The 18694-nt window shown below is 35.4% G+C and overlaps 1 long non-coding RNA gene across 1 annotated transcript in view, besides 2 other annotated features; it reads left to right on the forward strand.

Annotated features, from left to right (window-relative positions):
- LOC101927314 (uncharacterized) overlaps positions 1 to 18694 on the forward strand; it is a 403332-nt gene that overhangs the window by 278215 nt on the left and 106423 nt on the right. The gene's annotated exons all lie outside the window — the stretch shown is intronic.
- Positions 7841 to 8350: an enhancer, noted in NCBI's record as "OCT4-NANOG hESC enhancer chr6:98039517-98040026 (GRCh37/hg19 assembly coordinates)". NCBI's record gives its function as "activates a minimal SCP1, AML or CMV promoter by ChIP-STARR-seq in naive H9 embryonic stem cells {active_cell/tissue: H9 hESC(naive)}" and the evidence as "EXISTENCE:reporter gene assay evidence [ECO:0000049][PMID:30033119]".
- Positions 8351 to 8858: an enhancer, noted in NCBI's record as "OCT4-NANOG hESC enhancer chr6:98040027-98040534 (GRCh37/hg19 assembly coordinates)". NCBI's record gives its function as "activates a minimal SCP1, AML or CMV promoter by ChIP-STARR-seq in naive H9 embryonic stem cells {active_cell/tissue: H9 hESC(naive)}" and the evidence as "EXISTENCE:reporter gene assay evidence [ECO:0000049][PMID:30033119]".

Genomic DNA, 18694 nt, shown 5'->3' on the forward strand with positions numbered 1-18694 from the left:
TTGATATTTAGATAGAGATTTCATGAAATCTGTAGATTGCTTTGGGTAGTATGGACATTTTAACAATATTGATTCTTCCAATCCTTGAACATGGCATATCTTTTCATATTTTTGTGTGTCCTCTTCTATTTCTCAAAGCATCTTTCTTAATACTTATGGTTATATATTATAGATTTTGCTTGTGTATTTAAAATAGCTTCTTTTGTTGGTTTCTTATTGCTAACACGTGTAATGAAATCTCACAACTTCCTTTTGTTTGTAGGCTATCACAAACCATAAGCACAGAGATATAGATACCACCTATTTTGTTTCAATTTTGATGAAGTTAGTCTTAGGAAGTTGAGGAAATTCAGCTTTGGTCCTGAAAATCTAATCTGCAGAATGGTTATGTATTAATAACACCCTAGCAAAGAAATTCTGTTAAACAATGTCGAATGTGATAGACTTTTAATGGCAGCTTAAACATAGAATGGTAAATGCAGAAAATAACTAATCACTGTGATACTTTTTCAGTAATACGGTTTTGCTGAATTTTCTCCACAAGGACTGCAACTGTGGATTTGTATGTGAGTGGATTTACTTTTGAGCATTATAGAAGATAGACCTGTGTTGACTTTCTTATCTGCTGGTACTTCACCCTGCTTGTAGCCTCCAGCCCATGAAACATTTCTCTTAAATCAAGGTTAAAAAATAACTATTTTAGTTCTGAAAATGATAGCTATTTTTGATCTTATAAACCTTGATTCAAAACCTGAATATAGTACTTATAAACTTTCCAAAGTTGAATAAATGATTTAATTCTCTTGACCTCAGTTTAATCATCTGTGAGATAAGAAAAATAGTATTTACCCCAGAGAATTCTGTGTGAATTAAATGAAATTATAATTATTGTCAATTACAAGGTATTCTGTATTAGTTTTTTTTCTTGCCTTCCTCCCTCCATCTTGTCCTCCCTCCCTCTCTCCTCCTTTCTCTTTCTTCTTTGCTTTCTTTGTTTTCTTTCTCTGTCACTCATTTTTTCTTTTCCTCCTTCTTCTAATATATAATTCTCCAATCCAAAAATGTTTTCATAGTTACAATTTTGTATTTGATGATTATTTATATTATGTGCATTAAAAAATTCAACCCAACATTTATTGAACACTTCCTCTGTGCGAGTCACATTGATAGATATTAGGATTCAGAGATGAAATGAAGACAGTGTTCCTGCTTTCAAAGTGATAAAAACTGAAATATAAATTAACTAACAGTTACAATACAGTGTGACATGACCTGTTTTGAGCAGGAAGTGCTATGATATACATAGGCATCCAGGTCAGCCTGGATGGTCAGGGAGGCCTTTTTTTTTTTTTTTTTTTTTGAGACGGAGTCTTGTTCTGTTGTCAGAGAGGCCATTTGTAGGGGAATGCACCTCATCTGTTAGCTGGGAGAAGGAATGATCTAGGTAGATCAAGAAGGAAATCAGGCTGAGCCCAAGAGGGCCTAGCATGTTTAGGTACCTGAGAAGGTTAGTGTGGTTCTAACACAGGATGGGAAGGACCACGAAAGGAGCAACAAATAGGATAGTGTAAGTAGAGATGAGATGATAAAGGCCTTTGTATGCTATGTTTAGAGGTTATACCATGTTTTTCTATCTGTTCTTCATCTTTTAAAATTTTGATTGGCTCTATAATACATATATTATTCATGTGCTCTTTTGCCTGTCTCTTCTTTTCTCTAGATGATAATCTCTATAATGGTGATTCTCAAATTTGGCTACACATTAGGATCACCCATGGGAGGGGTTAAAGAAATTATGAAGCCTCAGCTCACCCCTACAGATTCTGATTAAATTGTTATGGTGGTCTGGGTAGGGCAATGTGATGTCTTTGATTGACAGTGACTGCTGCCTCAGGCAGTTTCACTATTCTTTTTGGACAGTTGAGTGTTCTTGCAGGGGTTTCCTCATTCATTCTTTCTTTTGTAACTGCTGTTGTCCATAAGTTGCTTGAGAGAACTAACAAAATCGTGTCTCATGTAACAAAGTTCCAACAAAATTTGGACCTACAACGATGAAAATAAGATTAGGAAGTCAAGACTAGTGGGGAAGAGTGAGGGTCCTCACAAGCAAAAGTTAAAAGTAAGAAAGGGTGAGTAAAATACTTGTTAATGTAAGTTTCTGAGAAAACAAACTTCTCCTTATGATTTAGCATTAGCAGACATTTGTGATCTGGGAACTGCTTTAGACAATGAATACTACGGTGGACATCTATATGCATAGACCTTTTCATGGTTTTTTTGAGTAGTATTTCCAGCAGAATTACTAGGCCTTGCAATTCTTTCTAAAAGGTTGTACTGATATACAATTGCTACCAGCAATGTAAAAGGACCCACTCCAACCCTAACAATGAAGCAGCATGCTAACTGTGCATTTTCTCATGGTCTCAGAGTACTGTGAAAACAACATTATACACAACAGGCCAGTTACAAAGGCTATCTTGGGGTAAAAGAGAAATGGAGAGTGAGTTGTGTGTGTGTGTTGTGGCATTCCCTCTCTCATTCCTCATGGAGTAGCAGAAGGGATATTTCTCCCCCTCCAGCAAAGCTGGAGAAGCTTTAAGAAATCTACTTTGAGAGGGGAAGTGTCTTATGTCCCCTGAAATTTAAGGGAAACAGGAACTGCTACCCAACCCAGGCCTGAGCAGTCCCAAAGTGACAGCTTGGCTGGTTAGATCCTGTGAATGTAGAAGAACTAGCTGAATTACCCACAGGGGGAGCTAAGATGCTTGAGTTTTCCAGCAGACCAAATGAACTGGATGAAGGGAAGCCAACTGTATTATCTTGAAAGAGATTCTGCTCTGGAAGATTCACCTTCAGGAGAAACAAGTCTTCTGGGTTGGGGGAAACTTTCCAATAGATAGAATATCCATACTGTGAAGCCTCAGAAGGTAGGGGACTGAGGAAGTTTGTCTTAAAAGCCAGCATAAGATGACATCCTCTGCTTTCAATGAACCAAGAAGTTTCCCAAAATGCCCTGGGAAAAAAACAAGCAGTCCTGATGTCAGAGACAGCTCATTAGCCATAGTACACTGTCCCTTTCTCTTAATTTACTCCTGCAGACCCAACTCTAGAGGGACCAAAATAGCAGCTAGAGAGTAGTTACAAAGAGGTGGAGTGAAGAAAATGTGAAGAAGCTGCTTATATTCTTTTCCTTCCTGTGGGTTTCTGAGTCCAGGGCAGGCCAAAACTGGAGGAGGGAAGAAGAATGTCATTAGCTGATGATCTGTAGTTTTGATATTAGACTGAATCGAACTTTTACTTTCTGCAAGTGACTGCAAATAGCTTTGAAATCTGATCAATCAGGAAAAGTGGTGGGAAATAATAAATTAATTGTTACCTGCTTGTGACTGATCCAGTAAAGTCTCAGTAAATACAACCATTACAACTTCAGAATATTTTCTCCTACACGTGCTTTTTATCTGAGTTACTGATTTTCATTGATTGGGAGTTCTAAGTGAATGTATATTAAAATCTGTTGATCTTTTCCTTCATTATTTTTTCTTTGCTTCAAATCTGAGAAAGTTATTCTTTCGTAGATCTGATATTCTATTCTCTTTTCTATTCACTTTTCATCAATGTATAAAAAACATTTAACAACTCTCTGAAGTTTACTTTGGCATGTAGTAAAATGTTCATTTAATTTAAATTATCCCAGATTACTATCTATAGCTGAAAATTGGCAATTTTTTATTCATTCACATTGTCCTTCTATATGTGAGTCTTACTGTTTTTTAAGGCCCACATACTTGGGACCTATTTATGTTTGATAAATTTGAAACATACTTAGAGATTTATCTTATTCTTGAGTCAGGCTGAAAGTGGCAGGAGGAGTGGGTTGTAGCTGGTGGGAGTGAGCTTAGCGTATTCTGAGCAGCATTTGGCTCAACTGACCACTCCTTCCTTTTAAAAATTGGGCCGATTCTTGCAAGAAGCCACAAAAGAGTTACTCTCTTCATTTTCTTCTACCTCTTTTCCCTTGTGTTTGCCTAGTTTTTTCCACTTCTATCACTACATGTGGGAATTCCTCTGGATTTGATTTTGAATCTGTGTTCCTTTTCTATGCTTTCTTCCCAGGAAACGCAACCACTAATAATTTAAAATATATATTGATGGCACAGTAAGATTAAGTCTTCCAGCCAGGCCCGGTGGCTCAAGCCTGTAATCCTAGCACTGTGGGAGACCGAGGCGGGCGGATCACGAGGTCAGGAGATTGAGACCATCCTAGCTAACACGGTGAAACCCTGTCTCTACTAAAAATACAAAAAAAATTAGCCGAGCGTGGTGGCGGGCGCCTGTAGTCCCAGCTACTCAGGAGGCTGAGGCAGGAGAATGGCGTGAACCTGGGAGGCAAAGGTCTCAGTGAGCCAAGATCGCGCCACTGCACTCCAGCCTGGGTGACAGAGCAAGACTCTGTCTCAAATAAAAAAAAAAAAAAAGATTAAGTCTTCCATCCTTACAGCTTCTCCATGCTCTAGATTCCTATGTCCAGTTGTCCCTCATTGTAGTAAATGACTAAAGTCATCTAACAAGTTGCTAACTCATCCTTGAATTTTTTCTTTACATTTTCTTCCCGCATTCAATCTATTTTTAAAAAGCAGTAAATCCCAGTGCAAAAATACTTCTATATATTTTCTCTGCATGTCTATTTTCACTGCTGTATTCCAAGCTGTTAATTTCTCCAGGCAATTTATAATATCCTAAAAGGCTTCAGGGCTCCCCTAGCTGTCTTATAGTACTCTATTCCTATTTTGATGGCATGTAACACAATCTGTTATTTTTTAATGTGTTTGTCTATTAACTTCCTGTTTCATTAGACTGTAAACTTACAAGGGCAGGAAACATATCTGACTTATTCTTCCCCATCCCCCAAGTGCCTAGCATGTTACTCGGTATATATTAGACTCCTTATAAGGAGAAGATAATTTCATTTAAAAATCATGCTATATTGAATTAATTTTCCTTTTCCATACATTTTTATAATTTTATCATCGGTAAAATTTTTCAATTCCTTGGGACAATTTTCTTAATCGGTATATGGAGAAGAAATCCAAAAGATCCTTTACGCAATTTTTGCTCCTATTATTTCCAAATTATTTAATTAGGTATTGATTTAGTACTTAAAAAGAAACTATTTTATTTTATCTCTCATTATTTTATTGATTATATATTTGTATGTGTTCTACCTCCCTCCAACATGTTTTAAAACCAGAGATTTCTTATTGGTATGTAAGTTTTCTTAAGATATGAAAATCCACATACATTATGTTATCTAATTTGTTGATTAAAGAAAACTAAAATAATTTTGTTGGTCCTCTAACCAAAATTTTTTATAGTTTTTTTTCTTGGCAGGATTTATGCTGTTTTGATAAAAAGTTTCATTGGTTGGCTTCTTTTTTTTTTTTACATATTAACATTTTGTGGGCCTATTTTATTCTCTAGGCTAGAGTATTTTTTCCCCTTTTCTTTCTTTTGCTTTTTTCTGATGTTATTTTTCAGTTGGTTCTTATCACTATTTCTATTGGATACCATCTGTTGTTTTGGTGACATGTTGAAAACTTTCCTAAGGATTCCTGATTTAAACTTCTTTTTCTTTCTGATGCTATATGTGGCTATAAGACAAAATGAACTTTGCAACTAATGCTATGTTTGACAATAGTTGTAATTCTTGCATTTTTCTCTACTCATTCTCTCTGTTTTATTTTCCTTGGTTAACTGGTACATTTTGAAATATTTCTTATGACTTACAATGCATCTTAAAAATTGGCTTTTAATAAAATCATTACACATGGACTACAATTGGTTTCATAAATTTGTCATTCATTCAATAATATTTATTGTTCATTTACTACACATCAGACAATGTTGTTAACATAAATGTTGTTCATATTGGCATCAGCTCATGGGGATATCATTTTAATTTAAACTTTTAAAATATTTTCACCAGTTTTATTAAGTTAAAATAACTGTAATTAACTTAATGAACAGTATTCATTTCTATTAGAATTTCAGTGTTCTAATAGCTCTTCTTTTCCACCACTGAGCACTGACTGACTGACCTGTCTTTTATAGATACAGATTTTCAGTTGATAGTTCTCAGTTAACAATAATTGCTGAGCCCTTATTATGTGCTCTATGTGGAGTAAAAAGCAGTTATAACTCCTCCCTCATAAAAACCAATTTGTAAGAGATAAGGTTCCAGTAAACAAATAAATATGCGATTACAAATTGTGATAAATGCCTTGGAGAAAATAAATAATGTGTATTGAAAGAAAATAATAGGAAAAATTACTTTTGTTGATCTAACTCCATATATTCAATTAAACCTGTTGCCTGAATTATTGACACACATTTTCCCATTGTCTACTATATATTTCCATTGTGTGTCGACATATGATACCTCAAACCTAACATCTTCTCTCTCTCTCCTTTCCCTTCCTCCTTATTCATATAGTTTATTGAAGCCAACTTTCTGCCAAAAAATTTAGTAGGCACTTTACAGATAAATTTTAATTGTAGGTTATTTATTCGTATTATCATGCCCATTTACTGATAGAAGAATCGAGTCTCATAAAATTGAGTCTCATGAACTAACTTTCTCTTGGTCAATCAGTAACAAATTTTCAAGCAGGAGTGCTGACTTGGGTCTCCTGATTAGAAAGTTCAGATTCTGTCTGCAATTATACCAGCTTCACAGCATTTATTGTGTACCAACTCTGTGCTAAGAAGATTGCATTTCTTTATGTAATCATTACAACCCCATGAGATAAATGCTATCTTCATCTTACATAAAATACTCAGAAATGTTAAATTACTCTCCATTGTCACATAGATGGTAAGAAACGGAGGTGGGATACGAGTCCAGATCCACTCCAGGAAAGCCCATGCTTTTTCCTGTTCACTGCATACTTCTATGATATAGAGTACTGTTTATTCCTTATCTTGCTCAATAAGGCCTTGAGGCCATAGATGAAGTATTTTTTATGACTGTATATGAAGAGCGCTCATTAATTGTCTATTAAAGATTGCATAGGTAGTTTAATAAGTTGAGTGCTTCAAATTGTATAAAATTTGCCCAAAATGATTTTATTTTTTATGGCACTAATAAGGTACCATATCCTTATTTACAGGCCATAATGTTTAAAACAATCTAACTTAGCCAGGCTTTTCACCCTGTAGATGCTGACATTCTGTCAAGTGAATACCAGCTTCCTCATCTATTTGGCAGATATGTGAATATTTATTAGGTGTCTGGCACAATACTAGGCACTGTGAATACAATATAGGGAGAAACCTACGTGGGTCTTGCCTCATGGACAGCCTAGTGATGGAGACACAATAACCAAATAATAACACTGATAAATATAGAATTATAAACTAAGATAAATGCTACAGAAAATGGGAATTCTGTGCTAAGAAAATTTATCCATCATGAAGAGGCAGGCCTAATCTGGGTGGGAAAGGTGAGTGGAGAGGATCTATCAGGAAAGCCTCCCTGAGGATTTATAGGTTGTTACTTATGTTTACAGTATTTAGGGAGAAGTGTAGATACAGTACAACACTAGAAAGTTATGAATTGTTGTTTATGTACACTTGAATCCAGCAGATAGTACAAAACATATTTTTTCTCTTCTCATTAAGTCACTTATCAGTCCACGCAGATGCCTCCTCTAATTGTCATGTAAGAGATCCTTTCTCTCTTTATCTCTTATTTTCATTTCCCTCAGGGTGACCTTGGGAGCCTTCTATCTATATGTCCTCTTGCCAGTGTCTTAGACCTGTCCTACAATTTCTGTGTGGCTATGGAGATAACTTTAAGGGTGAATAGAAAATAATAATTCCATCTAACTGGAGCAGAACAAATAATCTTCTTGTGGTGAGAGAGAAAGGGAGAACAGTGCACTGAGGAAACCAGAAAGGAGAGTGAGGGGTAGCTATTATGGCTGGATCACAGAGAGAAAGTGATTTGAAAAGAGGTTGCAGGAAAGGTAAAGGTCAGATACTGATTTGAACTTAAGATTCAGCAAGTGCCTCAAGGAGAAAAGAAGTGCAGAATGTTGGGCTCATTTCTTTGCAGTAATCCCCTTCTTCAGGATCTCAGACCGTTAAGTCCTGGCTGCTTTGGTATTTCCATGTGGGGGTCTGTCCCGCAGACCTTGACCCAATGATGGATGAATAATGTACACTGACACAGACATTTTGCCTCTCAGTCTGGTTGAGGGTACGGGCCACTTGCAGACACCAAGGAGGGTGCTGTAAAGAGTTGCAACCACGGCCCTGACTCGCTGGCCCTGCTGGCATTTATTCAGCACACATTAAATGACAAAGGCTTTGAGTCAACACTATTAGAGGGTAATTAACCTGGTTGCCCTCCCACCAAGAGAGCCATCCTGCGCGCAAATGATGAAAGGTTAGTTTTAGGACCACATGAGTAAACAAGTTATTTAGATAAACTCCTCTACATTCCTCTGTATCTACATCCTGAGCTTTTAAGAGAATTCAGCTGCCTTCAGCCAAACATTTTACTGAAGCTATGCAAACCCCCAGGCCTTCCAAGAAGGTTTGTGTTTATTTCCTATAATTTTACAATTTTTCCCACCATCCTGACTGAACCCCCACATTTCCACACTCTAGTTTTTTGTTTCTGCACATCCTGGAGACTGAAGAAAGCTCTAGACCATTAGGATATCACTTGCTACTCTGCCTCTGTGGCCTGTGCTGCAAATCTGAAAATGTCTTAAGGGGAAAATAAGTAGAGAATGTCTGGCTCACCCAAATGCCCTCAAGTTCTAGTTGTTGTGATTACTTTTTTTTTCTTTTTTTGAGATGGAGTTTCACTCTTGTTGCACAGGCTGGAGTGCAATGGTGTGATCTTGGCTCACCACAACCTCTGCCTCCCGTGTTCAAGCAATTCTCCTGCCTCAGCCTCCTGAGTAGCTGGAATTATAGGCATGTCCCACCATGCCCGGCTAATTTTGTATTTTTAGTAGAGACAGGGTTTCTCTATGTTGGTCAGGCTGGTCTTGAACTCCCGACCTCAGGTGATCCACCCGCCTTGGCCTCCCAAAATGCTGGGATTACAGGTGTGAGCCACTGCACCCGGCCGTGATTACTTTTTAAATGCCATTTTAAAAAATTACCCCAAAGAAGCATTAATTAGACTGACATCTTGCTTGTCAACAGAAACACTGGAAGCCAGAAGCACATGCCATGGTATCTTTAACTTTGATACCAAAAACAGATAAATTCACTATGATATTTATAGTATAATTCATGGTATAATTTATCTTAAAGAAAATATTAGTACATTTTATCCAGCAGTATATAAAAAGTATGACACCAGGACTGAGTAGGATTTATTCCAGAAATTCAAGGTTGATTTAACATTTAAACATCAATTAATGTAATTAATTTAAAAATAAAGAGAAAAATCGCATGATAATCTCAGCAGAGTGAGCAAAACCATGTGATATGTCAACATCCATTTATGTATATATTCTTAGTTCTTAACCAGACATGAAATTAAAAAGCTTTACAGGAAAATTATACCTAATAGTGAAACGTTAGAATCCTTTTGTCTGAGATTAAGAGTGATACAAGAATACTGCTATCCTCACATCTATTCAATGTTGTAATGTACTTATAATAAGGAAAATAAATAGATAAATTAATAAAGGAAATAGGTTTTAAAAGAGTAAACATTTTATTGAATCTGATATGATTGGGTACAAATCAAATAAAAAATCTACAGAAATATTTTCAGGATTAATATGTAAATTTAACATGGTTGCTGAATATAAGAGTGAGTAACATAAGAAATCAATTGTATTCCTATATACCAGCAACAGTCAGGTAAAATACAATTTATAATATATTTTTCAGTAACATAAAAGTATTAAATGACTAGATACATATCTAACAAAACATGTAGAAGACCTATACAGAAACCATAAAATATTATTGATAGACACTAAAGAAGTCCTAAATAAATGGAGAATTGTAGCATGATTGAAAGATTCGATATTGTAAAATTATTAATTCCCCCCAAATTTATTTATGAATTCAATTCAAAATCCCAACAGATTTTTTTTTAAACTTGAAAGCTAGTAATAAAATCTACATAAAACTTCAGTGTCAAAATAGACAAGGCAATCTTGGTGAAGAAGAATGCAGGAAGACTTGCTCCACCAGATATTACATCTTACTATAAAGCTACAGGAATTAACACAGTGTGACAAAAATAGACAAATGGACCAGTGGAGCAGAACAGAGAGCCCAGAAACATATTGTTTTGATTATCTATATCTACATAAGAAACCATCCCAAAACTTAGTGGCTTAAACTCACAATCATTTGTTTTCCCTCATGATTCTGTAGACTTGGTAAGATGGTTCTTTTGCTTCATATGGTGTCAGCTGGAGCGGTAGTCTTTCTGTATCTTAATAGGTATGGAACTTTCTAGATGGCTTGTTCACATGTCTGCCATTTGGTTCTGGCTGTTGGCTGGGAGATTGTTAGATTTGTTGATGACAACACCTCAGATCTCCCTCATTTGTCTTCTCCATGTGGCTTGGACCTCTCATAAGATGACAGCTGGGTTCCCAGAGGGAGTGTTCCAAGCACACAAAAGCGGATACTAGCCATTTCTTAAGATTTAGTCTTGGAAGTCATGCAGCATCACTTTTGCCACATTCTGATGATCAACTAAGGTTGCAGAGTTAGCGCATATTCAAGAGGAGTGGAAATATATTCTGCCTCTCAATAGCAAGAGTGACAAAGGATTTGCTATCATCTTTAGACCACCACCCACAGCCATGCATATATGGGTACTAGACTAATGCAGAGGTGACACTGTGGGGAAAATTTTATCTTTTCAATTAAATGATACAGAGAGAACTGAATACTAATATGGAAAAAAGTGAAACTTGACCTTACATCAAACCCTAATAAAAAATAATTCCAGTTAGGGCTACACACTCAAATGTCAAGGCAAAAAAATAATGCTTTAAAAATGATATAGGAGAATGTCTTCATAATCTCGGGATAGGAAATGTTTTTTAAGCAGTACATAAAATGCATTAACTATAAAGGAAAATATTAATAAATTGGACTACTTTTTAGTTGTTGTCACCAGTGCCGATGTCACATTCCCTTGACTCATCTCTAATTTTAAACATAGCTAGTGGTTAGAGAGTTCTGTGCTGACTCAGACTCACCTCTGACAGCATCTCTCCTCAAGTTACATGGTTTATGTTCCATGGCTTAAATTTAGCAGCACCAGTGACTCTCTTGGCTAGTGTGAAAACACAGCCTTGGAGTGTGGGATTAAGACCCCTAAGCATAATCTCAAACAGCAAGGCGAGAAATGGGAAAAATGCTTCCATCTCCTGTCTTTCAGACAGACTGCGCTGAGAGGCATTCTGTACAATTCACAGGAGTTTCTGCCAGAATGAAGCCCTACTTCCAACAGTAATGTCAACAACAACCTTTATATTGGCTTTTATTTCTGCCTGAATTCTCCCTATTCCTTCATCTCTGTTTCATAGGATCATTTTCCGCTTAGACTACCTGTACACAGGTGTTTGTCTTGGTTTTTGGAGAGACTCAAACCAAAACAATATGAAAATTAAGAGTTCTGCTTATCAATCAATGTTCTTATTAAAGAGTGAAAAGATGGCTCACAGAGTGGAAGTATTTACTTCTAAACACTGTAACTGAAAAAATGCTTATATCCTAATTTTTTTTAAACCCTCTATAAGAAAAAAAATTACAATCCTTTAAAAAAATGGATGTCTTGTGAACAGGCCTTTTACCAAAGATATATAAAAATGGCCAATGAACAAAGGGGAAAGGTACTTAACTGCTAGTTCAAATTAAAGTATAGTAAGACGCCACTATACACCCATCAGAATGATGAACATTAAGAATCAGAATAATACCGTTAGCCATTCAAATTCTCCTATCTACCTAGTGGAAATATGAATTGAAACAACCAATTTGGTAAACTGAGATCATCTACCGAAGTTGAAGATATGCATACACTTTGACCTAGTAATTCCATTCCAGGATACAAACCTCTTAGAAATATTTGCACATGTGCCCGCATGTTGTTTGTAACAGTTAATAACTACAAAGGATCCAAATGTCCAATCATCCTACAATGATTGGAGAATATATATAGTGTAGTTAATACAATGAGATCTAATACAGCAACGAAAATGACAATCCTGGAGTGATATCCAACAACATTATATAATCTATGTAATGTATATTTAAACATACACAAAATAATATGCACTGCATACTTCCATATATAAGCATATATGGAACATAATACTGAGTTATGTTTAGTAATGAGTACATCTCGGTAAAAGTACAAAAAAAGCAGGATGTAATAATCATAAAATTAGAATGGTGGTTACAGAAGAACAAGAGTGGTGTGATTGGGAGTGGGCATACGGGAGAAGTCTAAGGTACTGATTTTTTTAATAAACTAAATATCAAGGTGAACAATTATGGAGAAATTCAAACATAAATAAAAGCAAATAAAACAATTTGATAAACTTCCATATGCTTACCACCCGTTTCAAAATGATCAATTTATGGCCTATCTTATTTCATCTCTACTATCCTATTACTCTTATACCCATAACATGGATCATTTTGGAGCAAAATCTCACACATCATATTATTTTATGGGTAAATATTTTTATGTATCTATAAAAGATAAGATATTAAAAACATGCATTCATAAAACCATTATCACATCCAGAAGCTTAATATTAATTTCATAACATCATTAGTTACCCAGTGTTCACTGGGTAAAATATCAGTGTTTACTGATATTCCCAATTATTTCAACAGTTGGTTTGTTCAAATCAGTATCCACAAAATGTATCACATCTTATATTTGGCTGCTATTCCTCTTGAGTGGGGTGACTGTGCATTCTAGATTGTCCAGAATCCCATTTTCAATAGCATCCCTTTTCTGTTTCTGAAATATCCTGTGTTGGGTGAAAATGTATATGGTTGCTCTATACTTAAGTCTCTTTTCATCTTTAAGCTCCCATTTCCTTCCTTTACCTTTTCTTTTACATTTTGTTTTTGTTATTAGAAGAAACTAGGCCTTTTGTCCTATGGTGTTTTTTACAGTCTTATTTGCTTATTACATCTCTCTGGTGTTGTTGAATATGTTCCTCTGTCTGCTGTATTTCTTGTAACTGGAAGTTAGAGTATTCTCCCCCTAGAGTTTGATGTATTTCAGATTCCATTTGGATCAGGAGTTGGGGGTCGAGGAGGGAATACTTCATAGATGATGTTGTTTACTTCTGTTAGAAAGAATGTAACATCCATTTGTCTCTCAGTAAGTTTAGCAGTCATTGATTATTATTATCTAGGTGTATTATTTCAAAAAGAATTTGCAAAATGCTGATATTAGTTCTGTCTCTTGATCTAGGAGGTATTTATATGGGTGTGGCTTTATAATACACTGTATTTCATTCAGCCATTTATGGAATTTTCTGCATATATGTTGTTTCATGAAATATATTAAACACACGTATATAACTACATATGTGTATGATGAATTAGTGAAAATATTTTAAAATTAAAGTTAGGAAATTAATACGTTTTGCATGTTAGGCAGAAATTATTGACTTACCAAAAGGAAATTTCCTCACTACTCTCAATACTAAAAGTAAGTTTTAAATAATGATGATTGATATGTCATCCCAATGTGGCCAATTGTTTAGGAAAGTGTCTAAGCTTGCTATGTTGAACTGATGTGAGAAATGTAGAAAAAGTAGAATGTGATAATGGTGAACAGGAAGAGGACATGTTGTGGCTTCATGACAGTTAAAGATTATAGTGTTTGATGAATAACTAAGAGATATGCCATTGTAAAAATGATAACTTGATTGGACTTTTGGATCTCAAAGAATTATAAATATTTATTCTATATGATGATTATAGACTGATTTATGTGTCTTATACACTGTATTCCAATTGATTCTAGATATCATCTCCTAGGAGAGATTAACCAAAGTAATACAGCTAGATTTAAAAATTTACAAAAGTTATAAAGTTCCTCCCTGACAGGAAAAATTGAATTTTTTTTTCTATTTCGTAGTGGGAGTGAAATTAAGAGTTGATAACTTTCTTGCTAAGGAGGTATTACTATCACAAAGAAAGTAAAACTACATTTTGAAACGTATTTCTCAGTGATGATAGGTAACTGAATTTAATTACTTCTGGGAAATGCAAAAGGAAAAAATTAACCTCATTGGCCCTTGGGAAAATCTGACATCGTATTCTGGAGGTCTCTGATTTAAATTCAGTTTATATTGCTTACTAGTGGCCAATAAACTCCAACAAGCTTCTTATATATTGATTGGTATTTATTGTAGATCTTTCAACTTGGTTAATAGTCTTTTTCTAAGCTATCATCTTGATGATGCATCTATTTCCCTAGTCTCACTCTACTTTGGTTTCTATTATTTGAAGCATCTTTTTCACTGGAGAGAATAGAGCATAGAAGTTGAAAAGACTGATATCTGAATACAGACTGCGTTGTAGCTATGTGACCTTGGACAAGTTTCTTAACCTCTTCTTGCCTTATTTTCTTTGCTTGTAGAATGATAATAATAGTATGTCTCATTTATCTGTAGTAGTGATTAAATACATAACACATCCACAGCAAATAATAGTTATCTCCCGTGTGCTTCAGCAGCTCGTTTACTTAGTCGTATATTAAAGATGTCACTGCCAGAACTATTCTATCATTTAGATCTTGAACCCTAAAAATATCTATTCTGATTACAACATTCTTGCCTTCTAAATGCAGTTTCTTTCATTCCCTCATGACTAAGATTCCCCTTTTTCTCTAGTTCCTTGAGCTATTCTTACATCCTAGTTCCAGTGGTTTCCAAATGTTTATACTTCATGGGCCAAAAAAAAAAAAAAAAAATCGAGAGACCAGTGAAGTATTATCAATTTATTGGCAAGTAAGAATGTTAAAATAACAAACACCATCACATGTTGAAGTTATGAAATTATTTGTGTTATTTTGAAAAACGTGTTATCTGATAAACTACATACTTCACTAGGTAGACTCATGAGGAATCTACCTTGATCACCTAGAATGTGCAGATCTAGTGCCTAAGGTATGATACTAACTTCAAGAAATACAGTATTTTTTAGAATGAGTAGGTTAAAAATCTCCAACATTTAATAAAGGTAACATATTTTAGCAAAAAATGAAAGTTGAAATTTGTAAATCAAATGTGTATGTGGAAAGTGTTCAGTGCCAAAAATAACAGCATTAAAACAATATGTTACTGTTTTGCTGATACAGGTTTTCAATTCATTAATTTGTATTCAGTAGTGAAATACAAAATGAAGCTCACATGTCCAAACTTTCCTGGTACTTTGTTCTTTAAACTGCAGTTAGTGCCAATACTCTAGATTCAGATAAGTGTGTTGGTGAAATTGTAAGCTACACTCCTAAGGCAACTTCAAAATTCAGAAAATTTTGGTCAGAGCCTGGCTGGGTCATGTCACTGTCTCAGACAGGCCAATCATTTTAAACCCAATTATGTATTTGTTTGACAACTATACAGTAGGATTGGGGCAGAGACTTAATTTCTCCTATTAAAATGTAAATGCCCCTTCATTTAATATCTTTATGTTAGTTATCTCATTGTACTCTTCTTTGAGTTCCCTTAAATTAAATTTCACTCACACATGAACTTAATGAATAAAGTAAAATTTAGGAAAATGAAAAGAAAGGGCATGGATTACACAGTGCATTTTTTCTAATTTAAGTAATATATTTCTTGGAAGTTCCCAATTCCTTTTCTCAGCCTCATAGGCATTAAAATCATTTCTTCTTGGTGTTCTCCATCATTCCTGGCCTCTGTCTCCAGTAAAGTCTTATTTGATTATTCCTGAAATACTTTTTTTGTTTTCAATTTCTCCTTCCTAATCCAGGGAAAGAAAAGGAATGTGAGTTGACCCTCTTAAGCAGATGAGATAGATGTAGTTTTAAAATAAAAACTCTTAAGGTGAGCCTCCTACTAAACAAGTATCTCTAAGTTTCAGGCAAATATGAGGAGTAAAAGACACTGTAAAGTTCGACATGATTACGAGCTTGTTAGAGTTCCTGTTAGCTCAAAGAATAACCTTAGAGCTACTCATCTTGTAAATTACTTACTGGCTTGATTTTGTGATGGAATTCTGCAAGTTGCTGGTGGTAAACAGTGCAGGAACTGGCAGAGGATTGCCAGGAGGGTTAAATAGGCAATCCTGAATTCAAATACTGCCAATGATGTTTATATTGCTACCATTGTGATTATGAAATAATTGGCCTGAGCTACAAATTCTTCATTGGTGAAAAGGAAATAAAATAGCATCCATCTCCAAAACTGTTAGGATTAAGTACCTGAGTGCCTGACATATAGTATTCACTCTGTTGAGCACACGTTCTCCTTCCCATCACTTCTAGTCTCCATACCCTCCTCAAAGCTAATTAGGATAAAGGAGAAACAATAACTTTAGAGCCTAAGGTAAATCAATAAACAATCCAACTAGTTCATACTGATTATTCTATATAGAACTATGCTGGATTGTAGGGGGATAGAAAATATTGTAAAATATAGTCTCTGTTGGAGGCTCCTATAGCCTAGAGACATGGATCCTTGAGATAGGGAGGAATCTTAAACCTTGTCTAGTTTATGTAACTACCTCCTCTCCAACAGATAAGACCTGAGATAAGTAGGCAGTAATACACAACAGTAGCTTATCAGGTGCTTCAGAGATTTAAACTGCATAATAGAGTGGATATTTCCTGAGAGGAAACCTAGATGGCCAACATGAGGTTCCTTATGGGTGGTTTTACTTATCTTGTCCAGTTGACCATAATCTACATTGTTAGCACGCAGCCAGTGGCTTAGTGTCTTTGTGTGAAAGCACATGTTTAACATATTTCAGTTATTGATGAATATCCTAGAATGCCAATTCATAAAGGTAAATGAGAAATTTATTGTCATGTCTAATGAAATACTCATCTATTCATGAACAGCCTCTTTTTATGGGGAAATCGTACATTAGTGTATGTGTGTGTGTGTGCGTGGGGGCATGCACGTGTATGTGTGTGTATATGTATATATGTGTGTGTGTATATGGAAATTATATATATATGAATCCAAATTAAAATCAGAAGGTAGATAGGGCATCAAAAATTAATTGAAGAAATTTAGATGACCTTAAGAAGTGTACCACTAAAGTAGCTTGAAATTCTTTTTTCTCATAATAGGGATATTCTTGCCAATGGATGGTAATGCTTATGTGGTAGTAGGCATAGTATGGAGTAATATAAGGAGAAGTGGCTAGTGTTAGAAATAATGGGAAATAAAAAATTATGAACAAGGTTATAACCTTCTGATAGGGGGTTAATTATGTACCAGTTAAAAATGGAAAGAATGCCTTTTGTTTATTTTAATTTTCTATATGAAATAATGTGGCATTTTTCAGAGTATTCCTTCAGTACATGTTCCTGAATATTTCTAACATTTTCTTTTTACCCATGGCCCAGGAAAATATGTCAGAATTAGAGGGAAAGGCATATATTAATAACTAGAATGCCTACATTTTCCTTTTGTCCCTAAGTAAATGTTAGTTTTCTAATTTATCTCTAAGCATTTGTAAAAATGCAAATAATGAATTCCAGGTGGTTGTTTAATATGCTTATTTGATTATCTACATGATACAAGATACAGAAGTAGGCTTATGGGGAAAAAGGTAAATAATAAACCCTGTCTTCAATAAACTCTGTCTTCAAGCAGCTTGAAATCTTGTTGGAAAGATAAAAATAAAAGGTTTTGTTTGTTTGTTTGTTTGTTTTGTTTTTTTTGAGATGGAGTCTCGCTCTGTCGCCCAGGCTGGAGCGCAGTGGCATGATCTTGGCTCACTGCAAACTACGCCTCCCAGGTTCATGCCATTCTCCTGCCTCAGCCTCCCGAGTAGCTGGGACTACAGGCGCCCGCCACCACACCCGGCTTTTTTTATGTGTGTGTGTTTTCAGTAGATACGGGGTTTCACCGTGTTTGCCAGGATGGTCTCGATCTCCTGACCTCGTGATCTGCCTGCCTCAGCCTCCCAAAGTGCTGGGATTGAAGGCGTGAGCCACCGCACCCTGCCAAAAATAAAAATTTTAAACGTTATATTATATTGATTATATAATAATGTCAGTTACTTAGAATTGATTCAATAAACAGTTATGAATAGCTACTTTGGGCACAGTTTTGGGCTCTGTGTTAAAGATACCACCATTGAAGATTCCTGCCTTTGAGGCACTAATTGGGGGTTGTTTCACTTGAATTGTTTAGATGCCAGGTATACAGAGACGATGTAAAGGGAAGATACAAAGATAGGATGGGGAGGTGACTTAAGGAAGACTTCCTGAGAAGGTGATTTCAGTATTGGGCCTGAAAGGATATGGGTTGATAAAAACAATGTAAGACAGATCAGTAGCTGGCACAGGCAGTAGGAGTGGGTTGATACTTGCATGATTGTTGTAGGGGTGGTGGAGAATAGCACAAGCAACAATATGGGCTTAGGAAAGAACAATTTTGCCTCAAGGAAGAGTGTCAGCTTCCATGTT

The sequence above is a fragment of the Homo sapiens genome, chromosome 6 (assembly GCF_000001405.40).
Source record: "Homo sapiens chromosome 6, GRCh38.p14 Primary Assembly".
NCBI classification, from domain to species: Eukaryota; Metazoa; Chordata; class Mammalia; order Primates; family Hominidae; genus Homo; species Homo sapiens.